Source organism: Homo sapiens, chromosome 1 (assembly GCF_000001405.40).
Source record: "Homo sapiens chromosome 1, GRCh38.p14 Primary Assembly".
Lineage (NCBI taxonomy): Eukaryota > Metazoa > Chordata > Mammalia > Primates > Hominidae > Homo > Homo sapiens.
The window spans coordinates 87,046,932-87,074,284 of NC_000001.11; the positions used below are offsets into that span (position 1 = coordinate 87,046,932).

A 27,353-nucleotide genomic window follows, 5' to 3' on the forward strand; every position below is an offset into this window, starting at 1 on the left:
TCCTGACCGCAGGTGATCCACCTGCCTTGGCCTCCCAAAGTGCTGGGATTACAGGCACAAGCCACTGCGCCCAGCCTATATGTTTAACTTTTTAAGAAATTGTCCAACTGTTTTCCATAATGGTTGTCTCATTTTATATTCCCACCAGCAGTTCATGAGAATTCCAGTTACTCCACATTCTTGACAAGTCTCGGTATGACCGGTCTTCAGTTTTAGCCATTCTTACAAATTTTTGTGTTATCTCATTGTAGTTTTCCTTTTATTTTCTCTAATGACAAACGTCTTTCATCTTCTTATCTGCATATCTCTTTTTTGGGGAAGTGTCCAAATCCTTAGTTCATTTAAAAAAATGGACTGGCTATTTTCTCATTAGGTTGTAAGATACACATTTTTTGTTGATATGATACAAATCTTTTGTTGGCTATACATTTCACAAATTTTTTTCCTTTATGTGGCTTTCCTTTTCATTTCTGTATCTTTTAATTTCAGTGAAGTCCACTATATTGATGTTTGTTTTTGTAGTTCTTGTTTACTGTGTCATATTTAAGAAATCTTTGCCAAACCTAAAATTACTAGGATTGTTTCTTCTATAAGTTTTATAATTTTAGCTCTTATATTTAGGTCTGTGATTCATTTTAAATTCATTTTTGTATATGATGTGAAGAATGAAGAAAGAATGAAGATTCCCTTAAAAAAATGGCTATCCAGTTGTTCCCATACTATTTGTTGAAGAGGTGATCATTTTCTTCATTGAACTATCCTACCAAGTTTTTCTAAAATCAATTGATCATATTTGTATCCAAGTTTTTCTAAAATCAATTGATCATATTTGTATAGTTATATTTCTGGATTCACTATTCTGTTCCATTGATCTGGATGTCTGTCTTCATGCCAGTACTATACTGTCTGGATTACTGTAACTTGATAACAAGTCTTGAGATAAAGTGGTGTAAATCCTTCAATTTTCTTATTTTTCAATTTGTTTTGCCTATTCCAAATTATTTACATTTCCATATTAGTTGGTCAATTCATACCAAAAAGTGTCCTGGGATTTTGATTGGGATTGCATGGCATCTGTATATAAATTTTTGGAGAATTGACATCTTAACAGTAGTCTTTCAATCATGAATGTGGCATATCTATTTAGATCTTATTTAATTTTTCTCAGCAGAGTTTTATAATTTTTACTGTATGGTCTTGTACATCTTATTGCAAATTTATTTATATTTTTGTGCTATTTTACATGGTATTTTTTATGTGAATTTCTGATTATCTGTTATTAGTAATATACAATTGATTTAGGTATATTGATTTTTATATCCTGCAACCTTGCTAAACTCATTAATTCTCGTAGCTTTTTTATTAGATTCTTTTGGAATTTCTACGCATTCAGTCATGCTGTCTGTGACAAAAGACAGTTTTACTTCTTGCTCTCTAATCTGTGTGCCTTTCTTTTTCTTGCCTTATTGCACAGGCTAGAGCCTCCAAGACAGTGTTGTGTAAAACTGATGAGGGTGGACATCCTTGCCTCATTCATGGTTTTAGGGTGAAAGTATCCAGTCTGTCTTTCAGTAAAGTATGATACCAGCTGAACATTTTTACAGATATCCTTTTATTAGTTTGAGGAAGTTCCCTTCTATTCCCAGTTTGCCGAGATTTTTATCATGCTTCTAGTCCCAGTTTGCTGAGATTTTTATCATGCTTCTAGTCCCAGTTTGCTGAGATTTTTATCATGCTTCTAGTCCCAGTTTGCTGAGATTTTTATCATGAATTGATGTTGGATTTTGTTTATGTGCATGTATTAAGATGAATACGTGGTCTTTAGCTTATTTAATAAGGTAAGTTACATTGACTTTTGCATGTTAAACCAATCTGTATCCTTGGGATAAACTACATAGGTATGATAATTGTCCTTTCATTTCACTAAATGTTGTTAATTTTTGCCTCTATAAGGGATTTCATGTCTGATTTTGGTATCAAAGGCTGGCTTCAGAGACTCAACTGGAAAGCGTTTTCTTCAAGAGTTTGTGTTGATGTTTTCTTATGTTGGTATTTTTGGTATTGGTATTTTTTTTGTTTGGTAGAATTTTCTAAAGCCATTTGGGCCTTTTGTTTATCTGTGAGAAAGATTTGTTTTCATTTTTTGTGCGAAGGTTTTTTATCTATACATTTAATAGATTTAAAAGGTTATTCTGTTTAGCTATCTGTGAGCTTCGTTAATTTTTGTGTTTCAAGGAATTTAGCAATTTATCAAGTTTATTGGCTACAGTTGCTTATAATATTCTTTTATTGTCTGTAGTATTCTCTCCTTTGTCATTTCTGATATTAATAATTTGTATCTTCCCTTTTTTTTTCTTATTAGTCTGGCTAGAAGTTTATCAGTTTTATTTTTATTTATTTATTTATTTTTGGCACAAAGAACTAGCTGTGGTTTAGGTCACTGGTGTTAGAACTGCCTTCTTTTCTAATATGATCGTGTAGTGCTGTATGTTTCCCTAAAAGCACTGCTTCAGTTACATCTTACAATTTTGATGTTTTTGTTTTATTAGGTTCAAAATGCTTTTCTACTTTCCTTTTTGTTTTTTTCTTTGTCCTGTGGGTTACTTGAAGTGTGTTATTTAGTCCAAGTATTTGTGGACATTTCAAATGTCTTTTCTGTTATTTTAAATTTAATTCTGTTTTAGTCAGAGAATATATTTTGTATGATTTGAGTACTTTCAAATATTTTGAACCTTGTTTTATGACTGAGAATATGGTCTGTCTTATCAAATGTTCCATGTACACTTGAAAAGAATGTGTATCTGCATTCTGGATGGAGTGGTCTCTAAATGCCAATTGGCTAATTAGTTGATGATATTGTTCAAATTTGCTGTATCTTAGTGATTTTCTGTTTACTATCAATTGTTGTGAGCATGATGGTGAAATCTTTAATTATACTTGCAGATTTGTCTGTTTTTCCTGTGAGCTTTTAATTCATATGTTTTTAAAACTCTCTTATAAAGGTACAAAATTGTTTAGGATTGTTATGTCTTTTTGATAAATTGACCCCTTTATCATTATGAAATGATCCTTTTTATCTTTGCCAGTATTCTTTACTCTGAAATCCATTTGTCATGAATATGGCTACACCAGCTTTTTTTGATTTGTGATAATGTGATATATCTTTTCTCATCCTTTTGCTTTTAAGTTATTTAATGTTTCTCTCATTTAAAGTGGTTTTCTTGTGGTCAGAATATAGTTGAATCTTGCTTTTTTATCTAGTCTGACAATCTCAGCCTTTTCTATGGTGTGTATGGATCCTGATAATTAGTACATTATCTTTTAATGTGCAAATATAAATGTTAGTAATTATAAATTAAGATTTAAGAATTTGAATAATTTGATAGATCCCATCAAGTAATCTTATTCCTAAAATTTCTATTTTCTTTATTTTTCGAACTTTGTTTTATTTAGACTTATTATTTCTAGGTTATCTTAGGCCACCAAGAAAAAGCCAAAATTGGGAAGTAAACTGGGACTACATTAGAAATAAAATGGCCTCCAAATATGAGAGATTATGCTACAGAGACTCCTGTAAAATTTTAGCTATAAAAGGGTAAAATGGAGAATGGTACCCACAGGGTCACAAACCAGAGTCAACAAATGTTGACTCCAGTGTTGCTTTCTAATATCTTCTGTTTGTTATTGATTTTAGACTACTTGCTCTTATATCACCTTGGGAGCTTTTAAGAAATACAGATTCCCCAGTCCCATGGAATTTGTTATACCCTGTAATCTATTTTAAGGTAATGTAACTTTCCATGTGATTCTTAGATTACTCTAGGGTCAGAAATCATGGTCCTGCCCTACTTATCTGACCACTTTAATCTCTGACTTTTCTGCCACTATCACTTTCTCCTACAGAGTCTTGGCACCATTACAGGAAAAAACCTCTGAGGATTAGTCAGGTGTGATATACCTAGAATATTATACTAAACAGTCTTGACATGTATGGAGCTTTAGCTTTGACTGTGCTATATGTAACATTAGGTTAGTAGAGATCAAATCACCTCAAACCTTCACTTTTAACATTATCCTTCACTTCCTTTTAATATTTCTTAGATTGTGGAGTGAAGAACTCTGTCTCCCATATGGTTTAATTTAGTATGCTATATTATTTTTATTAAGCAAATTTGTGTGTCTGCTGTATACTGGGTAATAATGGTCATCACCTTTCTTTCAGAGAAAGAAGTAGCTTTTAAACAAGTTATGCTCTCCTCCCCCAAAAAGTCACGTTAATTCTACATGATTTTTTTTTTTCAGTTTTCGTGGTTTGATTGGTTCCAGTGTTCAATTAGAATGTACTTAAATTTATGTTGCCTAATTCAAATAGATTAATGGGGATGAGGCAGAGTAACTCACAATAGAACAAACAGTTTTGAGTTACTTTGCCTTATCCCCATTAATTTTATCAACCCATACCTTTTCATAATGATCATAATTTTATTTCTGGCATAGGAAAATAAGCCAAAAATATTAATGGATTTAAAAAGCTAATATATAGGGTATGTAAAGATCAACAAATTATTTTAAAGTAGATATTAAAATGTCTATTGTATAGTAAATGTTCAGTAGTCTGCAAAATAAAGAATATTCTACTTGAGAATTTTTTTCTTACACTTGTTTCATATGATTAAAATTCAGTAAAACACAATTAAAACTCAAATTATGGTCAAGCATTAGTTTTTGTCGATTGATAACAACTGTCCAGCATTTTACTGGTCATTATTGAGAATATCAATTATCATTGCATTGTGGGCATGTTGAAGTGTCACTAGTAAAGAATTGTAGTTTACAGGATCCTGAATAATGGTTCTTTTTTGTTACACAAGACAAATGCAAAGGAAGACAGTTTTTGGAAATCGATGTTTAAAAAAGAACATCTTTAGAATATTAATACCTGTGACTAATTTTTAAAGATTCATGAAAAATACAAATTCAACTGAAAAGCTATAACAGTTTCTCAGAAGATACAAAGCTGTAAAATATAAAAAGTTTTAGGCCAGGTGCAATGGTTTACACCTGTAATCCCAGCATCTTGGGAGGCTGAGGTGGGCTAATCGCTTGAGCCTAGGAGTTTGAGACCAGCCTGGGCAACATGCTGAAACCCTGTATCTACAAAAAATACAAAAATTAGCCAGGCATGATAGCGCACACCTGTAGTCCCAGCTACTCCGGAAGCTGAGGTGAGAGGATCACTTGAGCCTGGGAGGTCGAGGCTGCAGTGAGCCCTAATCATGCCACTGCACTGCAGGCTAGGTGACAGAGCGAGACCCTGTCTCAAAAAAAATTTTTTTTTAACTCACTTTTTTAGTCTTAACAATGGGTAGTGTACAATCTACTTGAACTTCAGTTTTTAACTAGTAAGCCAGGACTGGAACTTGTAGTTTAATCAGAATTTCTTCATATATACGTGAATGTTCCTAGATGAATATCTTTAACATGGTTCTTGAATTCTTGGTTGTACCCCAAAAATGGTTTCAGTTTAAAAGGGTGTGGGGCAATGACCATGATTCAGAATTAATTAATGTTGCATTTTCACAGGGTTTTGTAACAGTTTATGCTCAAGAACAATGTAAACATTTCACTTGTGCTTTCCATAATGATGGTACAGCATGCTTTAAAGAGGAACTGACTAGCCTTAGGAGACGTAGTGGTTGGTGGCGAGCAGTGAGGAAGATGGGAAATCCAGTTAGTCCAATAGAATCAGTGCCATGAGTTAAAGGGTAATGGATGTGATGACCAGAATACCCTCACAACTAGTTTATACCATTACGTTGTTTTTCACAGATCTAAGGTACATCTAAAATTCCAATTAATGGGGTACAATTAATTAGTTACATGGAAAAGATAATATTCTATATCTGTCTTCTTAATAAGCCAACAGAAATGCCCTCTAGAACACCGATTCTCAAAGTGTTCCTGGACCATCATATCAGCATTGGGAACTGGACTGGCAAATTCTTAGTCCTTGGAATTAGTAGCTAGGGAATGTGGGAAGGCAGGAATTTGTATTTTAACAAATGCTCCAAGTAATTCTGATGCATGCTCAGTTTGAGAACCACTGCTTTAGAATATGATGCATATCAAACTCCAGTAAAATAATAGCAAGTTTTCAGCATTGCTAATTCTAATTTTCAACAGCTGCTGCATTAGGTTTTCGTTAATGATACCCAAACCCAGCTGGAGTTGAATCCTAGTTACTTCTTATTCTTTTTACTTACTAGTGAGTGGAGCACCAGGTGCAGTTGTTGAAGTGTGAAAATAATTTAGCTTTGTAGACAGTTCTGGCATTTCTTGATTTTGAAAATGCTTTAATCTTCTTGGTATGATATTTCAACAATCAAAGCACATCTATTTTAATGGCAGTATGGACTTGTGCTAAGAATTTAAGGAAATCTCTGAATTATTCCTACCAGTTTAATATCAAAATTAATATTTTAGCTGAATTACAAAGCTTATATATAATTTACTCCTATTTTATTTTTCCACCAGTATGTGCATTAAAAATTTTTTAATGTCTTCCTGAATAATTTACTTTCAACCTTTTTCACATCTTCTACAATATTATGTTTAGTTTTACTTTGGAAAAAAATGCTAGCAGAGATTTTAGTTAAATGCATTCTTAGTAGTAAGGTCCAGCTGCGTGCTTTGTGAGTTGCAAAACTCATGAGTCCTTCAAAAAACATTTTAAAGGCATGTCAGTAAGACATGAAACTAGCATTTATCTGCTGCAGTATACTTTGAGTATCTACAAGTGGACAACATGGTCAAAAGCACTTAAAATGTTTAATAGATTAGTACATGATCTTGCAGTGATAGTGCAGATTTGTTTTTGGTTGTATTGCACATATGTTATAGGTAATGTTGGTAATACAGATATTTAGAACCAAAAGCTGATGAATTCAAAATTCTCTTTTGATGTTTAAAAATAAAAATAAAATTCTCTTTTTTTTAACTGTGTACCTTCATGATCTCATTTACTCCTTTTACATCAGCTGATGCCTTTGTGTTGTGACTCTTAATTTCTATCTTTAGTTCAGAACTTTCTCCTGAGATGTATATCTTCTGTAACCTACATATTACTACCTGGATGTTCCATGGGCACATGAAACTCACTGTGTCTGAAACTGATAATCCAAATCTCTCCCTCATACTAACCCTGTAAATACATATGGAATCAGAGTTACATTAATAGCCTATTTTTCATTATTATAATAGGTCAAATAGCCTATTTTGGCCATTACCCTAGATGTTTGCACAGGGCTTCATTCTCCATTGAAATTCCTTTCTAATATTTCTGAAACTCTTCTAGAGATATCTCATGTGGGTTTTTTTGTTTGTTTTTTAAAAAGCAGACTCCCCTCTACCCATAAGAATCTGCTTGGTTACTTCCTTGTCCATAGAACAACTATCTCTAATCAAGCATCATCATCTCTGCTGCTTCCCCAAGAGGAAATGCCAGAAAGTATGGGAGCCTTCATGGTGCTAAGATTGATGTCACATTTCATGTAGAAATGGAGAAAGTTCTCTTATGTCCTCAGTAATGTCATACTTTATCACTTGTGAACCTGCTTTATGTGCCTGTGTGAAGAAATGGCAAACTATATACCAGCTATTCATGCATTTCTTCCTCTAGTATGTTTTTATTGCTAGGAAGCAACTGCCCACCAAGGATTAAATTTCTCACCACAACCCCTGCATCTAGGTAGGGCCATATGACTAGTGTTTGCCAAGATAATTAAGAAATGGTTGTGCTTTCTGCACTCTATCGGCCAGCTGGATCAAAAGACTTCAAGGTACTGTGGAGAATGGCAAAGTCAGAAGAGGAAAGGAGCATAATTCCTTGAATTACTGCATAAAAGGCTGTCTGCCAACCAGAAACACTCATGTTGGTACTTGAGCAAGAACTAAACTTCTTGTGTAGTAAACAATCGAGATTTCGTTACAACAGCTGATGTTTCCCTAATTAATACAGTGCCCCCTTTATATTACAAAGCCCTTCTTTGAAACAGCTCCTTAATCATTTCCCTGCATTCCCTTTCTCTAAAAACTCAAACACATAAATATCTGGAAATTCATGGGGCTGGGAGGGAACAGATGCCACATTACATTCTAATCCAGAACTTTTCTGCCATTGTGCCCTCCCCATCCTATTCCCTAGACCTGTTAGGCTTGGATATTGTTCTTACACAAGCTTGAAATAAAGCCTTATGAAAATGGGCTCTTCCACAGACCAGCTACATACTTGATTTCTCAGTTTGAACTTCAGTGTAGACTACAAACTATCCTGAATTCCTTTCTTCATCCCCATTTATTCTTCCTTCCCCAATTCTCAAATTCACTGAATGGTACCATCTTCCTCCTCAGTAAAGAAGCCTAGAGACAGTACCTTAGCCACTTCCAATTCCGTCTTCTACTCTTGTCACCTAAGCCTCTAACCCATTAACCTATCTCCTTCCAGTCCCCATGCTTCTTCCTTACTGCAGTTGCTTTCCTTCAAGTCTTAATCCTCACTATGTCTTCAGGCCATTGATACTCAACTGTAAGCGTTATCACTCTATAAAATCTTGCATTGTAGAAGTCCCGCGTGGGTTACTTAAAACTCTTTAAAAAAATGGCTCTTTATCGCTTATAGAAGTTGTTCTGAAAGTGCAGTCCATGTACCATAGGGATGCTTAAGACTCCTTTAGGGCTTTCACAAAATAGTTCACAATCATTTTCATAATAATTCTAAGATGTTAGTTGCCTTTTTCACTAGTTGACATTTGTCCTTATGGTAAAAAGCATTGGTGGTACCAAACTGTACTAGTAGGCATTGTGTTTTTTGCTGCCTTTCTCTAACAGCCCAAACCCTCAAAAGCCATTTTCACATAAGAATGTCCGTCAGAAAGCAATAACTTTATTAAATATTGACTATTTTGTGTATGTCCTTAATATTCTGTCACAATATATAAAGTACATCAAGCACTTCTGCATACCAGAGTACAGAGGTTGTCTTGAGGTAAAGCACTTGTGTGATTGAGTTGTGCTGTGGTTTGAATATGGTTTGTCTCTACCAAAACTCATGTTGAGGCTTGGTCCCCATTGTAATGGTGTTGAGAGGTGGTGGGACCTTTAAGAGGCATTTGGATCATGAGGAATCTGCTCTCATGAAAGAATCAGTACAGTCTTGAGGGAGTTAGTGAGTCCTCACTCTCTGAGGACTACATTAGTTACAATGAGATCAGGTTGTTATGAAGCAAGATTGCCTCTCGTGTTTGCGCTATTTTCTGCATATGTCAGTTTCTCTTCTATTCCTCCATCATTTTTTGATACAGCATGAAGCCCTTACCAGAAGACAACAGATGTGGCTGCCCAGTCTTGAACTTGCCAGCCTAAAGAACCAGAAGCTAAAGAAACTTCTTTATAAACTACCTGGTCTCTGTCATAGCAAGAGAAAATAGATTAAGACAAGTTGCAAGCTCAACAAGGCAATTTTTTTCATAGAACACTGTTTTTACTTGAAAGAATGATCAACACACAAACTATGTTTATTCAGACTTGTGTAGTTGGGAGATATTTTCTCAAAAATGAATGAAGTGAACTTGTCGCTGTAAGGAAAATAGTTGACAGTATTAGTTGCCAATTATAAAATTCAAAAAAACTTGTATCTGCCGCTATGAACATAACAGTTTCCCAATACTTAGACTTCTCTGAGATTGGTGGTGTTATAATGAATGTGATTTTTTAAATTGTATAATTTTTATTATACAATTCTAATGTATTAATATTTGGAGGATCTGCATAACTCCGTATACCAATATTTTTCAAATGACAGTGCAAAGTATATCAATATAACAGTATATATTCACTGATATGAACTTGAATAGTGTATATTCATTAATATGGTTTTCTATCACATTGCAGTTAACTTTTAAGAAATTAACACTAGGTTTTAGTGTAGAATTGAAAAAGAATATTTCCAATTATTTGAAAAGGCTACTAAAGTACTCCTTTTCCAACTGTATCTATATGAGTCTGATTTTCTTCATTGACTCCAACCCAAATAATATATGGTAATATTTTGAATGGAGAAGCAGATATGAAAATCCAGTTGTCTTCTATTAAGCCAGACACTTTATAAGATTTGCAAAAATATGTTACACTAAATTTTTTTGCTTTTGGAAAATTTTTTCACAAAATCATGTCATTTATGCTGACATGTCATATTGTTATTTTAAAGTGAGTTAATAAATGTTTCTCAATTTTAATTACTAATGTGCTGTTGCTAGATGTAACCCACATAAACCAAAGCTCTTTGGTGTCCTTAACAATCTTTAAGTGTATAAAAGGTTCTGAGACCAGCAAGTTTCAGAATGCTGGCTTATAGGATATGGTTCATATTCCTAATATGGTGATTAAGACACTGTGATCTGGCTTCTGCCCACTTTTCTGCCTTATGTTTTACCTTGCCCTTAATTTTTCTCCTATCTTCTAAGCTTATTAAGAACCACTTTTAGGGCCTATATGCACTCTACAGTGTTGTGCCTCCAAGGACTTTGCTCATGCTTCTTCCCTTTGCCTGGAAGGTTTCTTTGTCACCCAGAAGGCACTTTTTTTTTTTTTTTTAAAGACAAAGTCTCACTCCCAGCACTCTGGGAGGCCGAGGCAGGTGGATCACGAGGTCAGGAGATCGAAACCATCCTGGCTAACACGGTGAAACCCCATCTCTACTAAAAATACAAAAAATTAGCCAGGCGTGGTGGCAGGTGCCTGTAGTCCCAGCTACTCAGGAGGCTGAGGCAGGAGAATGGCGTGAACCCGGGAGGCGGAGCTTGCAGTGAGCTGAGATCATGCCACTGCACTCCAGCCTGGGCGACAGAGCGAGACTCTGTCTCAAAAAAAGAAAAAGAGAGAGAAAAAAAACTGTATTTTTTGTCTTAAGCTAAACAAATACATCTGGGTGAAACTGAATAAAATAGGATTGTGGGAGAATAAGTAGGCATCCTACTCCCTTCCTCCCACCCAGTTGTTACTGGCCTGCTTCTCTCTCTATTTCTGCTTCTTTCGATTTTGTTTTAGCCTCGGGGTGAGTGGGTGGAGGGAGTCCAAAAACACATCTGTACTGTAGAGGAGAAATTGATAGCATAGCTTTATGGAACTTATCTCAGGGTTATGCAATCCAGAGGTCCCCTGATTTCAGCTCTCATCAGTGCAGGAATCCTTTTTCCATCATTCTTTGACAGGTCCTCATGCAACCTCTATATGAGTATCTCCAGAGACTAATAACTTACCACCCCCTAAACTGCCTGTGTCTTTACTTTGCACTACTAATTATTTGAAAGCCCGTTCTCTCTTGAGCCACAGTCATATCTTTTTTTCTGGAGTAATGCTACAAAAAGGATTCTGCCTCTTTTTCACAATAACTTTTCAAGTATTTCAAGAGACTGTTAGTCATTTTTATGGATTTTCTCTTAGCTAAGTGCACTGTTTTGTTTTGTTTTTTTTTAAGTTTTTTATGTGGCATGATCCATCCAGCTCATTCCCATTCTGGAGTACTCTAGCTTTTAACGTGTGCCTGAAATGACACATAATAGCCCTGTGTGACTAAATACAAATTTCTTAGGAACTGTTCCTTCCTGTGACTTGAAACATTAATTACTGTGTTTTGGTTAGGAGTATAAGCTTTGGTATCAGACAGATGAGGGTGTGAATTCTGACTTTTTTCCCCTGTAATTCATATCTCTGAGTCTAAATTCCGTAATGTTACCATATAGGATTATTGCAAGAATTAGGTGAAGTAATGTACATTTAAACATGAACCGTTGGCTGGGTGCGGTGGCTCACGACTGTAATCCTGGCACTTTGGGAGGCCGAGGCGGGGAATCATGAGGTCAGGAGATCAAACCATCCTGGCTAACATGGTGAAACTCCATCTCTACTAAAAATACAAAAAATTAGCCAGGCGTGGTAGCAGGTGCCTGTAGTCCCAGCTACTCGGGAGGTTGAGGCAGGAGAATGGCGTGAACCCAGGAGGCAGAGCTTGCAGTGAGCCGAGATCACACCACTGCACTCCAACCTGGGCAACAGAGTGAGACTCCGTCTCAAAAAAATAAAAAATGAATAAAATATGAAGCATTGTTCCTGGCTCACAGTAAAGGCTCAAAGTAGAAGCACTTGTTACACTGATAATTATATACCTATTGGCACAGCCTAAAATTGCCATACGTTTTTTTGCAGCTGCTTCACATTACTGTTAATATTATAATCATTATGCTAGTATATTTGTTGTTTATCAGCTTGTGCTACTACTCAGGCTTTTATGCCTTCTCCAATTAGCCATCCCCACATCTTGAAAGCCAGCTCTGTCCTTTTAAGGCTGAACTTACTCAGTGTATTTTCCAGAAGGTTTTTCTCCAATTCTTGGATCCAGAAGTATTTTGTTCTTACTTATGGCATTTGTTACAGTGGCATTTGTTCAATTTTGTACAAGATAGACTATGAAAATAGGAACAGTTCACTTGAGAAATTTATAAAGAGATGAGGGATGATGAGATTAATGTCTTAATAAAGCTCAAGAAAAAGGAAAAGCATGTATAGTTGGACTCCCCATTTTGTATCAGCGTACTTATTTCAAGTGACTGAAATGAGTAAAGAAAGAAGCCTTGAAGTCAGCTCACCTATGATTTTTAACTATGATATTTTGTATTTTAAAAATAGATACTTGGTGCAGGTGTTATTGGCAGACAGAAGTAAGAGGCTAGGGTGAACAGGCTATGGGCGTCTGGTAAAAGAATTTTTTTCCCAAAAATGCTCTGGGAGTTTCATTCCCAAAAGATGGATGCAGGTAAATCTGACTCTGGTCAGTACAATCAAGGCAAATTGGTGTTTTTCTAAACTGTGAATTGGGAGAGGATTCTACTTACAATTTGAATAATAGGTCTCATCTCTATACTTATTCTGGTACATTTAAAGAAAAACTTAGGCCCTATATTGGACCTACTTCAGACCTTACAATCCATATAGTAACCCATAAATAAGTAAAACCTTTGTATGTTGTGATTTTTTTTCCCTATTCAAGAATGATACCTAGAATATTATACAATTACTAATTTGGGGAATGATATCAAGAATTATGTTGTTTTTGGCTTTGGTTGTGGTTTTTTATAACTTTAAATTTTGAGATAATTATATATTCACAGGAAGTTGCAAAGATAGTACAGCATGTTTTTCTTTTAAGCACCTGGAAGACAACCATCTTCTGTCCCTCTGTTTCACTTATTTACCATGCCTATTTCAAAGGAATGTTGCAGGAAACAATTGCAAAATGCTTTTGCAATCCCAAAATAAAATATATCAAATAATTTTAAAAGGCATTTGCAAAAAAAAGGTAGTTCTATAATATTGTAGTGCTGTATTTAACTATAAGGCTCTACCTCTTCCTATAATAGAAATAGACAAAATCTCAGACAATCAGTATAATGTGGAACATGAGCTCTAGAGTCACATTGACCTGTAATGGTATCCTGACATCAGTAAACAGCTGGTGATCACTTAAAGAGACTCAGTTTTCTTATTTAAATGGGGATAATAATTCTGCCTCTCATGATATGATGTATATAAACCACAACACAGCATGGGTGTAACAGATGATATACATAAAACACTTAAAGCATAGTGAGAATTCAATGTTAGCTATTACCAATACTATTTTTTCATGTAGGTGATTAGTGTATTTCTCAGATTGATAATAAAAGAAGGTTATAACTTATAAGGATTTCACATTGTTAAATTAATGTAATAACTGTAGAAAAGTATAGCCATAGCCAAGCTTGGCAAGTACATTTAGTAAAATATAACTCATATTCCTTTAACGTAGTAACCTTAGCAATAACACAAAAAGAAAAGAATTGGTGTTTTTTGGATTGATGGGGTATTTAATAATTACTTTAATGTTTTTATCTAATAGATCATCTCAGGAGCATTAACTCCAATATATTTTTAGTGAGAACCTTATCACAGATGAAGTTGTGAAAGAAAATTTGATATTTATTTTGTAATGTATTTTCAGAATGTTAAGGATTAACATATATTTAATGTGGAAGCATTATGTTTGTTTAAAAGATGTGTCTAATAAGGGCCTACAAAAATTTATTGTACATGAAGATACTCAATAAATATTGTTAAATTGAGAATAAATGACTAATTTATAAACAGTTAAATATTTTATAATTTGTTTTTAATGTTATTATTAAAATGAACCTGTATTATAAGATCTCAATATTTGGTAATTTTTTTGAAGTGAAACAAACATAAGTTAGCCATTTTACAGGGAACAATTCACTGGCATTTGGAACATTCACAATATTGTACAAGCACCATCTCTATCTAGTTCCAAAACATTACTCCAAAGGAAACCCCATCACCGTTAATCGGGTGCTTTCCATTTCTCCCTCCCCCCATTCCCTGGCAACCACCAATATATTAATATATACTGTTTCATTTTTACCTATTCTGGATATTTCATATTAATCTAATTATATATGACCTTCGGTATCTGGCTTCTTAGCATATTTTTGATGTTCATCTATATTGTATTACTAACATATATGAGTACTTCATTCCTTTCTATAGTTGCATAATATTCTATTGCTCTGTATATAGTACCACAATTTATTTGTTCATTCATCTGTTGATGGACATTTGGATTGTTTCTACCTTTTGGCTATAGTGAGTTAGTGCTTTAAACATTTATAAGTATTTGAGTACCTGTTTTCAGTTCTCTGGGGTGGTATATACCTTGGAGTAGAATTACTGAGGTATTTGGTAATTCTGTTTAACTTTTTTGAGAAACTGCCAAACTGTTTTTCATCATGACTTCACCATGTTACATCCCCTCCAGCAATGTATGAGGGTTACAATTTGTCACTTCCTCACTAACATTTGTTATTTTCCTATTCTTTTCTCTTTTTTTTTTTTTAAGTTTTTGGTTTATCTGTTTTTAATTATAGCCATCCTAGTGTGTATGAAGTGGTACTTTGTTGTGGTTTTGATTTGCATGTCCCAGTGACTAATGATGTTGAACATCTGTTCATGTTTGTTAGTCATTTGTATATCTTCTTTGATTATTGATTAGAGACTGTTCTTTTCTAAAGTCTGCATACAGTGCTGTAAATTTCCCTCTCAGTCCTGCCTTAACTGTGTCCCACAAATTTTGATTTGCTTATTTTCATTTTCATTCATGTCAATGTATTTTTAAAATTTCCCTTGACATTTCTATTTATTTGTCTTCTGTTCTGTTTTTTTCACTTCTGTTTTCTCTTTCTGCATTCCTGTGGGTTACTTATATTTTTTTTTAGAATTGCATTTTGATTTGAGTTTAATGTCTTTATATAGTCTTTTTCATGCTTGTTTTACATATTTTATTATATAAATGTCACCTGTCAGTTCACTGGTATCATTTTACCAATTCAGGTGAAGTATAGAAACCTTACCTCCACTTTTGTCTTTTTATTCTCCCTCACTTACAATGTAATTGTCTTAAATATTTGCTCTGCCTTCATTTAGAGCCACATCACAGAATGCCGTAATAATTTTGCTTTCTCTGTCAAACTTGCTTTTGAAAACTCAAGAGGAAAGGGAAAGTTTATTGTATTTACACATATTTTTACTCTCCATTTTTTTGTTTGTTCTTTCTGATGTTTTAAGATTTCTTCTTTTATCTTTTCCTTTTTGTTTATTTATAGAGTTTTTTTAGCCAGTCTTTTAGGGTAGGTCTACTGGCAATAAATGCTAATTTTCTTTCATGTGAGTTACTTTCCCTTTCATTCCTGAAAATTATTTTCTCTAGGTATACGATTATTTTATTTCAGCACTTGAAAAACATTGTGCCACTTCCTATTGGCTCCATGGTTCGTGATAAGAAATCTGCTGTTAATCCAGTTTTCTCTTGTAGGCTTCATACAGGTGCATTCAAGACTTTTTTTGTCTTTTGTTTTCAGAAGTTTGATTATGATATGTCTTGACATGGATATCTTTGGGTTTACCTTATTTGGAGTTTGTTCAGCTTCTCTATCTAAATGTTTATGTCTCTTTTTAAGTGTGTAAAGTTGTCAGCCATAATTTCTTTGAGCACTTTTCAACCCTGCTTTCTTTCTCCTATTCTTTTAAGACTCTGTGACACCAATGTTAGATCTTTTGTTCTAGACCACAGTTTCTTGAGCTCTTGTTTGTTTTTGTTTCTCCTTTTCTTGGTCTGTTTTCCCACTGCTGTTAGGTTCAGTAATTTCTTTTGTTTTTTCTTTCAGTTCATTAAACTTTTCTTCATCTCTTCCATTCTGCTGTTGAACCCATTCACTGAGCTTTTTATTTTAGTTCGTGTATTTCCATTTGGTTCTTTTTTGAGACAAAGTCTCGCTCTGTTGCCCAGGCTGGAGTGCAATGGCGTGACTTCCGCTCACCGCAGCCTCTGCTTCCCAGGTTCAAGTGATTCTCCTGCCTCATCCTCCTGAGTAGCTGAGACTACAGGCATGCACCACCACGCCTGGCTAATTTTTGTATTTTTGGTAGAGACAAGGTTTCACTCTGTTGGCCAGGCTGGTCTTGAACTCCTGACCTCATGATCCACCCGCCTCGGCTTCCCTAAATGCTGGGATTACAAGCGTGAGCTACCATGCCCGGCCTGGTTCTTTTTTTGTATCTTCATTTTCTCTACTGAGATTGTATTTGCTGGGGCTTTCCATTTTTTTCGTTTGGTTCAAGCATGTTCATAATTGCTCATTAAAGAATTTTTATCGTGGCTGCTTTAAGTCTTTGATAAATTTTAACATTCCTGTTATTTTGGTGTTGGTCATTTCTTGATTGTCTTTATTCATTGAGTTTGAGATCCTGCTGGTTCTTGGTATGATGAATAAGTATTTTATAGAAACCTGAGCATTTTTGTATTATAAGACTCTGGGTCTAATTATAATCTTCTGTTTCCTTGCTTGGACTCCACTGATACTGCAGAGGTGCCTTGTTACCTGCTGTCTGAGATGAAAGTCCTGACCCTGTACTTGGCCTTCTCTGACATCACCCCATCAGGGATATTGGGCATTGTGAGGGTGGAAGTCTAGGCTCCCTACTTGTCCTGTACAGTTGGTGGGGGGGCCGGTTTTTCCTATGAAATTGGCTACTGTAGAGTGGTTATTATCTAAGCTTTCTATCTTGCTATGCTGTTCCTTTCCTGGTCCTTTGGCTACAGAGAATAGGTTTTTGTAGGGATTCTTTTGTCTGTACCTGTTTCTAGATTGCCAGCTTCTATAGCTCCAAGTCTGGAATGTATGAGGCATAAATAAAACTTAGGGCAACTCAGCACTTTATTGTCCTTAGGTCCCAGGGGTTCCAGTAGTCTACTGTCTTCTCTTTTAGAGTCTTACATTTGTTTCATGTATTGTGTGCCAGTATTTTAGGTGTACTCAGAAGGGGCAATAGTGAAACATAAGTCTACTCCATCTTCCCTTAAAGTGGAAGTCACTGTTAGCTCTTTTTTATAGGATGATTCATATAACCATAACTTGTAAGTTTTAATGGTACCATATGCATCCCTGTTGACTATCTGGAAACCACACAAGAAAGCATTTGTCAGTGTTCAGAATCTCTCTACCTTGCATATAGAAATTTATTTTGTTAGTCCCCCATGGTGATTGTGCTCAGGGAGACTGATTCAAGCTAATAATACTCTTTTTGAGACAGGGGCTTGCTCTGTCATCCAGGCTGGAGCGCAGTGGTGTGAACATGGCTCACTGCAGCCTCAAACTCCTGGGCTCAGGCAATCTACCCACCTCAGCTTCCCGAGTAGCTGGGACTACAGGCATGCACCACCACACTCAGCTAATTTTTAAAAATTTTTAGTAGAGACAAGGTGTTGCCGTGTTGCTCAGGCTGGTCTTGAACTCCTCAGCTCAAGTAAGTGATCTTCCTGCCTTGGCTTCCCAAAGTGCTGGGATTACAGACATGAGCTACCGCACCTGGCCAGGCTAACAATACTCTTAAGAAAATAGTGTATACAGTCAGACAGTCAATTTACTTAATTCTCAGTGATTACAAAACATTACTTCCATGAGGATCAGATGGTGTTTGGCTGGGCAGTCAACTCACAGTAAGTGATGCTGAAGCAAGAATCAGTTAAATAGCCTCACAACAGCTTTCTTTTGGTGCATCTGTATTGCTCACTATTCCTCATTGTGTATTCATTTTATGGGGAATGAGTTACACGTCAGAGCAGTTATTGGAGATGCACACAGCTCAAGATTCATTCCTAGAAAATGCAAAGGATCCAATTTAATTCAGACATTTAATGGCACTGAGCTTTTAGAGCCTAGCTTATCTAGCTCTACAATAGGCATACTTGCCAGGAGGATCTGACTAGACAAATTGATATGCCAAGGCTCCTCCACCCATAGACAATTCTTGGGTAGACCCTGCTGGTTTCCCCTTTGATTTCTACTTGCCTTTGATCTTTACTTACGAGTAACCTATTTTTTCTGCATACTTACCAGTGTCTTTTGTTAGGTTATCATCAGGCCTCATTGTCCTAGGAGCTGTTTTGTTTTTAAGGGTAGTTAATCTAGGGTCATAGACCCCCTTGCCTGTGGTTGGGCTCTAAGAGGAAGCCCTGAAATGCACAAGCCAACCTTGTAAGAGAGCATAATTTTCTCATCATATTCTCAAAGGAGTCCATGATCCCAAAATCATTATGAGCCACTAATGTGTAGTGTTGCTCTGCTCTGTTATGCATATATAGTTCAGTCTCTTATAAATCACCTTAGCTTGTCATTACTGAAGTGTTATTATTGCTGATTTCTGTGTTTTCTTACTATAGTTAAAGATATGAAAATTTGGTCTTTTTTGTTAATATTTTTTGCTTTGGATTTATTACTTATCTAGTTGTTATCAATGTATTTCTTTTTTATTTTAACACTAGAAGTTTCAGTATTTGAGGGCAAGACAATTTATTGCTCTTTCTCTTTGCTGTTTCTTATATCCCTCTCGTCCTAAAATGTTACCCATAATATAGAACTATTGCACGTTTTCAGTTCTCTTTTCTTCAGTTATCCTGCAGTCTGATACAGAATACATCCTTGTCATTTTAATGCTGTGTAGATTTTAGTTTAATGTAATGTTTTATACTTAACTAATCATTTTATTCTGTTAATAAATAAAGTCTTTAAGGGCCTGTCAGTATGGAAATAGGTAAATATTACTGTTACCTTTTAAAAGAATTGAGTTTGTTGCTAATCTGACACGTGGAAAAGCATCAAGCTCAGATATGTGCTGCCTTCATCAGGAGCCTGGAAAAACTAGAATTGCCATGGAGCTAAGTGTCCATCTTCAGTTGGAAATAATAGTGCCATTGGTGCCTGGCCTGCCTGCAATTTCATGACTCCTACATTGCACCCCGTGTGATCTGTAGGCTATACATTTCATGGTGAACCTGAGATAGCTTGCATAGCAGATTTTCTATACATTTGGATCTTGAACAATGTGGGAGCTAGGGCACCACTCCCCACCCCTGTGCCATCAAATCTGTATATAACTTTTGACTTCCCAACAACTTTTTTAAAAAATTTTTATCTTAAAAAATTTTTTTTTATTATTATACTTTAAGTTCTGGGGTACATGTGCAGAACATGCAGGTTTGTTACATAGGTATACCTGTGCCATGGTGGTTTGCTGCACCCATCAACCCATCATCTGCATTAGGTATTTCTCTTAATGCTATCCCTCCCCTAGCCCCCATCCCCCAACAGGCCCCAGTGTGTGATGTTCCCCTACCTGTGTCCATGTGTTCTCATTGTTCAGCTCCCACTTATGAGTGAGAACATGTGGTGTTTGGTTTTCTGTTCTTGTTAGTTTGCTGAGAATGATGGTTTTCAGCTTTATCCATGTCCCTGCAAAGGACATGGACTCATCCTTTTTATGGCTGCATAGTATTCCATGGTGTATATGTGCCACATTTTCTTTATCCAGTCTATCATTGATGGGGATTTGGGTTGGTTCCACATCTTTACTATTGTAAACAGTGCCACAGTAAAACATACGTGTGCATGTGTCTTTATAGTAGAATAATTTATAATCCTTTGGGTATATACCCAGTAATGGGATTGCTGGGTCAAATGGTATTTCTGGTTCTAGATCCTTGAGGAATCGCCACATTGTTTTCCACAATGGTTGAACTAATTTACACTCCCATCAACAGTGTAAAAGTGTTCCTATTTCTCCACGTCCTCTCCAGCATCTCTTGTTTCCTGACTTTTTAATGATTGCCATTCTAACTGGCGTAAGATGGTATCTTGTTGTGGTTTTGATTTGCATTTCTCTAATTACCAGTGATGATGAGCTTTTTTTCATATATTTGTTGGCTGCATAAATGTCTTCTTTTGAGAAGTGTCTGTTCATGTCCTTCACCCACTTTTTGATGGGGTTGTTTTTTTCTTGTAAATTTGTTTAAGTTCTTTGTAGATTCTGGGTATTAGCCCTTTGTCAGATGGGTAGATTGCAAAAATTTTCTCCCATTCTGTAGGTTGCCTGTTCACTCTGATGATAGTTTCTTTGGCTGTGCAGAAGCTCTTTAGTTTAATTAGATCCCATTTGTCAATTTTGGCTTTTGTTGCCATTGCTTTTGGTGTTTTAGTCATGAAGTCTTTGCCCATGCCTATGTCCTGAATGGTGTTGCCTAGGTTTTCTTGTAGGGTTTTTATGGTTTTAAGTCTTAGTTTAAGTCTCTAATCCATCTTGAGTTAATTTTTGTGTAAGGTGTAAGGAAGGGGTCCAGTTTCAGTTCTCTGTATATGGCTAGCCAGTTTTCCCAACACCGCTTATTAAATAGGGAATCCTTTCCCCATTGCTTGTTTTTGTCAGGTTTGTCAAAGATCAGATGGTTCTAGATGTGTGGTGTTATTTCTGAGGCCTCTGTTCTGCTCCATTGGTCTGTATTTATGTTTTGATACCAGTACCATGCTGTTTTGGTAGTGTAGCCTTGTAATATAGTTTGAAGTCGGTAGCGTGATGCCTCCAGCTTTGTTCTTTTTGTTTAGGATTGTCTTGGCTATGCGGGGTCTTTTTTGGTTCCATATGAAATTTAAGGTAGTTTTTTCCAATTCTGTGAAGAAAGTCAGTGGTAGCTTGATGGGGATAGCATTGAATCTATAAATTACCTTGGGCAGTATGGCCATTTTCATGATACTGATTCTTCCTATCCATGAGCATGGAGTGTTTTTCCATTTATTTGTGTCCTCTCTTATTACCTTGAGCAAAGTTTATAGTTCTCCTTGACGAGGTCCTTCACATCCCTTGTAAGCTGGATTCCTAGGTATTTTATTCTCTTTGTAGCAATTGTGAATGGGAGTTCACTCATGATTTGGCTCTCTATTATTGGTGTATAGGAATGCTTGTGATTTTTGCACATTGATTTTGTATCCTGAGACTTTGCTGAAGTTGCTTATCAGCTTAAGGAGATTTTGGGCTGAGACGATGGGGTTTTCTAAATATACAATCATGTCATCTGCAAACAGAGACAATATGACTTCCTCTTTTCCTAATTGAATACCCTTTATTTCTTTCTCCTGCCTGATTGCCCTGGCCAGAACTTCCAATACTATGTTGAATAGGAGTGGTGAGAGAGGGCATCTTTGTCTTGCACCGGTTGTCAAAGGACTTCCCAACACCTTTAAACTTAACTATTAATAGCTTACTGTTGGCCAGAAGCCTGGCCAATCAATAAACAGTTGATTAACACATATTGTATATTGCATGCTGTATTCTTGTAACGCTATATACTATATTCTTACAATAAAGTAAACTAGAGAAAAGAAAATGTTATTTAACATACAAGAAATAGAAAATATGTATTTTTTATTTTTTTATTTAAAATTTTTTTTTAAGAGATGGGGGTCTAGCTGGGTTGCCCAGGCTTGTCTCAAACTCCTCGGCTTAAGCAATCCTCCTCCCTCAACTCCTGAGTAGCAGTAGCTGGGACTACAGGTGCACGCCACCAGGCCAGGCTCTGAGAAAATATGTTAAGTTTTCTATTTGTTAAGGGGAAATAGATTATCACAAACATCTTCATCCTCATCATCTTCACACTGAGCAGGCTGAGGAGGAAGAGGTGGGCCTAGTCTTGCTGTCTCATGGATGCCAGAGGCAGAAGAGATAAAGGAGGTAGGAGGCAGGAGAAGCAGGCACACTCAGTGTAAATTTTATTGAAAAAGAATCCACGTATTGGACTCATGCAGTTCAAATCCATGTTGTTCAAGGGTGAACTGCAATTTATTACTCAAAGATGAAGAAAACATTACGACAAAATGTATCCTAAGTATTTTGAATATACTGCCTACATTCTAAGTGCACTGCAAATGTGGCATAACTAGTTAACTTTCTTCAGTGATTTAAGAAAGCCTCACAAGAGGCTGCACTAACTAGATGTAGAGCATCTTTGCTAAAAAAAAGAATTATAACTATCTAATACTTACTTAGTAAATAAAGAAAATGACCATATTGAAAACACTGATTGATTTTAAGTATTGCCACAGAAGAAAGATAGTAATTTATCATCAATAATAGTTACTGCTGTTCAACTGAGATGTGATTTAATATTACTAACAAAATTGTTCTTAATTTTCCATACATTTTTTATCTTTTTATGTAGTTTTAGGCCTAACATTATATTAATAATTGTCCTATATATTTAAGCAAAGTAAAAACACTTGAAAAATAGAAAATGCATGTAAATACTATTTGAATGAGGAAAGTAGTGATGCCAATATTTCTACCTTTTCATAATTTAAGACATTTCTAAAATTGTATGAAATACACAGTTTATATGATTTAATACATATAATGAACCAAGAATAATAATTACTTTTTAAAAACATATTTGTTTCATGGCCCTGCCGGAGGTGTAGCAAAGTTGATGAGGTAATTTTAAAACAATTTTGCAGTTTGTCTCATGTTTTTTATAGATAAAATAGATACCTGCTTATGAAATAACACAAAAAATCTTTTTTTCCAAGTATTTGATTTGAAGAAAAAACTAGTGTGAGTAAATTCAGCATTGTTGATTGTAAGTGAATCTTTTTTTTTCTTTAGCGCAAACTCCTACTTGTGTGAGTGGGTGAATCTTTTAAAGGCAATTTCACATATGTCTGTGTTGCTAGAGGAAACCTCTCACGCTTCTGTCAGCGCTTAAATGCCAACACCACTGTTGTATTTCCCTTAGTAGAAAAGGGGAGGGTGTTTGGACGTAACATTACCATAATAGTTTTGAACTGTTTAGAAGATAATGTTCCTTTAAAATTGTTGAATATAATAATGTTCAGGCCAGGTACAGTGGCTCACACCTACAATCCCAACACCTTGGGAGGCTGAGGAGGGAGGATCACTTGAGCCTGGGAGTTCAAGACCAGCCTGGGCAACATGGTGAAACGCCGTCTCTACAAAAAATACAAAAATTAGCCAGATGTGATCATGTGCACCTGTAGTCCCAGCTACTTGGGAGGCTGATGTGGGAGGATAACCTAAGCCTGGGGAGGTCGAGGCTGCAGTGAGCCATGGTCACACCACTGCACTCCAGCCTGGGTGACAGAGTGAGACCCTGTCTCAAAAAAATAATAATAATGTTCATAGGTTCTCAATACAAATTAGTTGAATTTAATCTAAGACAACTTCCAAATCTTGTATGGATGCTTATCGTATGTTACCTTGATTTGTAGGTTTATTTATAAAGCACTATTGATTTAAAAAATAGTATGGTATGTGCTTCTTTAAAGTCTCTCCTGGCTCTTTTTTCTTTCTTATTCTTAGTTTATTTTATGGATTATCTTTTCCTACTTGCCTTTTAAATATTGGTATCATCTAAGATTCTATCCTAGGGTCTCTGTCTGTGCTACATACTGTATATTGTCTAGGCAGCTGTCTATCTGCTACTTGAACCTTTATTCTCAACTGTACACCTATAAACCCAATTATCTTATATCTCCTGGATGACCCAGGCTATCCAACAGTGTATTCAATATTAAGCTCATTATGTCTTTCTCTCTCCATTTTCAGTTCATACCTTCCCCCAGAATAAAAGAGTATGTATATTTGCATATAAATATATAACACATACGTATATCTCTCATATATGTACTTCTGTTTTGGAAGGCCCACTGCTAGTAAGCAGCAGGCCTGGAATTTTTAATTCTGGTTTTTTGAATGCAAATCCTCAGCTCAGAGTGTATTCTATATAACATGGTGTCCATATCTTTTCAACCAAAATCAAAGATGCATGCTCTGACAATATTTGAAGTCTGCACTTGTTGCTGTAATTATACCACATTGCTTTTCATCTTACTTTATTAAGTTGTCAGCATCATAGGGGACACTAATAACCACACATACAATGTAAAACTGCAATTATGATAAATATAGTGAGACATGTAGTATAAGATAGATGAATGTATATTTTTTAAAAGATAGCCGGGCGTAGGGGCTCATGCCTGTAATCCCAGCACTTTGGGAGGCCGAGGCGGGTGGATCACGAGGTCAGGAGTTCAAGACCAGCCTGGCCAAGATGGTGAAACCGTGTCTCTACTAAAAATACAAAAATTAGCTGGGTGTGGTGGCGGGTGCCTGTAATCCCAGCTACTCAGTAGGCTGAGGCAGAGAATTGCTTGAACCCAGGAGGCAGAGGTTGCAGTGAGCCAAGTTCGAACCACTGTACTCCAGCCTGGGTGACAAAGCGAGACTCTGTCTCCGAAAAAAAAAAAAAAAAAGATGATTTGACCTAGTCAGAGCTATCAGATGCTTCCCTGGGAAGCAATTGAGTTGAAATGTAAAGGTTGGGTGGGGAAATGGAAGATTGTTCAAGATAGGTGAGATAGCTTGCACAAAGACTTGGGGGTTAAGAGAGTACGTGCTATATGTGTAACTATCCCCGTGCAAAGTATTTGCAATCTTGCTAGAGATTTCACGCTCCTCATTTCCTTCTTTCCTCTCCTTTTCTTGCATCCTTATTCATATATATTTATAAAAGAAAAAATATATATTTGAATGTATATTAGAATGTATAGATATTTGAATATATATATTTGAAGCTGAAGTTTGCATTAAATAGAGAATACTAGAAAGCAAAATGTAACTGCTTTTGAAACCACATAGCAGATAGGTAATTTTAGAGGAACCATGAAATTTAAGTGAAAAGCATAGCCATGTGCTAAACATAGTTTCTAATGCAACACCAAAAAGAAAAAGGATTTATGGTAGTATTGTTTCTACCCTTCTAAGTCATATTGTTTCTACTCTTGTTAAGTCATATTAGCATTTATAATCACTTTATAATCACTGTCCTGTTACAGTTTTTTAATTTATAATTTATAATCACTTTATAATCACTGTCCTGCTACATTTTTATAAACCAGAGAATAACTAAATCGGGTAATAAATTTCAAAACCTTTTCTTAAATTATAAGTAATTTCTCTTTTAAGTGCATTTTTATACTGTGAAGTTTAGTATTCCATGCAATCTTTGTGTGTTTGAGAATTAGTTCAGGCTGTAGGAATTCTATTAGAATGTAAAGTGACTTTTGAACTGCACTGAAGTACTCTGTGGTCTGTGCTATTCTGCATTTGTTGACTCTTTATTCCTTTTTGTTCTTGATATACATATGTATTATCCTTCATAAGGAATTCTGAAGCTTTGGTCCTCAAAACATTTCTTCAACAGCTCTTACCTAGTTCTTGAATAGGAAGATTATGTTCCAGGCTGTACAGCTGTTTTAGAATCAACTAGATCCTCTTAGAAACCCAAGCAATTTACCCATGTTTTCCATATCCCTTGGTTCTTTGCTTTTGTTTTTTGTTTTCTTTTTTGTATCTTTTCTAATCATGGTCCAAAGTTCAGTGTTCATAACTTCCTTATAGTGTCCTTAAAAACTTAGTTCGTATCTGTTTTTCTTTCCAGAAAGGGCTATTGCAAGACACGAAGTCCGAGAAATTGAGCAGCGACATACAATGGATGGCCCTCGGCAAGATGCCACTTTAGATGAGGAAGAGGACATGGTGATCATTTATAACAGAGTTCCCAAAACGGCAAGCACTTCATTTACCAATATCGCCTATGACCTGTGTGCAAAGAATAAATACCATGTCCTTCATATCAACACTACCAAAAATAATCCAGTGATGTCATTGCAAGATCAGGTAATTACCACTTAAGGAATGCCCAAATATTTTCTAATACTTCCTCACTCAAATTTTCTAGCTCAAGGGGATAAAGTATTTTAAAGGGATGTGAGTGCTGATCTCAGTGGATCATAAGCCTTTTAGGGGAGAGGGCCAGCTAACTTTTGTATAATTTTACTTGACAGTATTTGACACATTTCCTTGCATATAGTATGTACTCAAATATTTGTGAAGTAAATGAATTAATGAATAGCTTGAATTTTTGAGAAAACTGATGTTCCTGAGCATAGTATCCTTTTAAAAATATAATTTTGGCATGATACCCTGCAATAAAAATTATTGTCTCAACTTATGATGGAGAAATATTTGATGGATACTTGTATTCAATTTTGTGACCAGCCCCTCTTTACTAGATAGAGATAGAGATAGATACAGAGAGAGTTTATATATACATTGCTTATAAATGTATATATAGTTTAGTTGTGGCTTCTTCAACATAATCTTACCTTTTAAATTCTCACGAAGTTTTAGATAAACAGATGAATAAATAATTTTGTGAAATGGTTTTAAGAAAAGTAGAGGAAATTATCTTATGAAATAAAATTTGCTCATCTCTTTAATAGTAGTAGCATACATTTCTCCCACACCTGGAATTTTGACTGCAATTATAAATAAAGTTCTCTCTATAAATATGGAAGGGCATGGGAATTCCACCCCATGAGAAGGAAAGATAATGTTTGCAAATACTACTTAGGATCAAATACCAAATTGGAGTAGGCTTATTAGAAAGATATTTGTGATGGTCCTGTAGTTACAATGATATTTATCTGTTTGAAAGCAGTGAACTTGTTACAGAATTGACTGTCATCTCACTATTTAGCATAACTATAATCCTTACACTTAAACAAGAGAATTACATTGAGACACAAGACTAAGGTTGGCTTTCTTGCTAGAGAGCTGTTTGTAAAGGCTAGTAGTATATGGTATGTCATCTGCCCATGTAATTTTTGGCTCTTTGCAGAATCCTGGAGTACTCTTTTTTGTAGAACCAAAATTCCACATCTGTCGGCCAAACCAAATAACTCTTCTATGAATGAGAAGAAACATGAGTTGTTTTTAGCTATGTGTGT

The 27,353-nt window shown here is 35.5% G+C and overlaps 1 protein-coding gene across 2 annotated transcripts in view; it reads left to right on the forward strand.

The window, feature by feature from the left end:
* HS2ST1 (heparan sulfate 2-O-sulfotransferase 1) overlaps nucleotides 1-27,353 on the forward strand; it is a 195,348-nt gene that overhangs the window by 132,297 nt on the left and 35,698 nt on the right. For both annotated transcript variants that reach the window (NM_012262.4, NM_001134492.2), the window contains exon 2: nucleotides 26,003-26,241. In NM_012262.4, the coding sequence (NP_036394.1) occupies nucleotides 26,003-26,241 (239 nt within the window). The remainder of the gene's footprint in view (nucleotides 1-26,002; nucleotides 26,242-27,353) is intronic.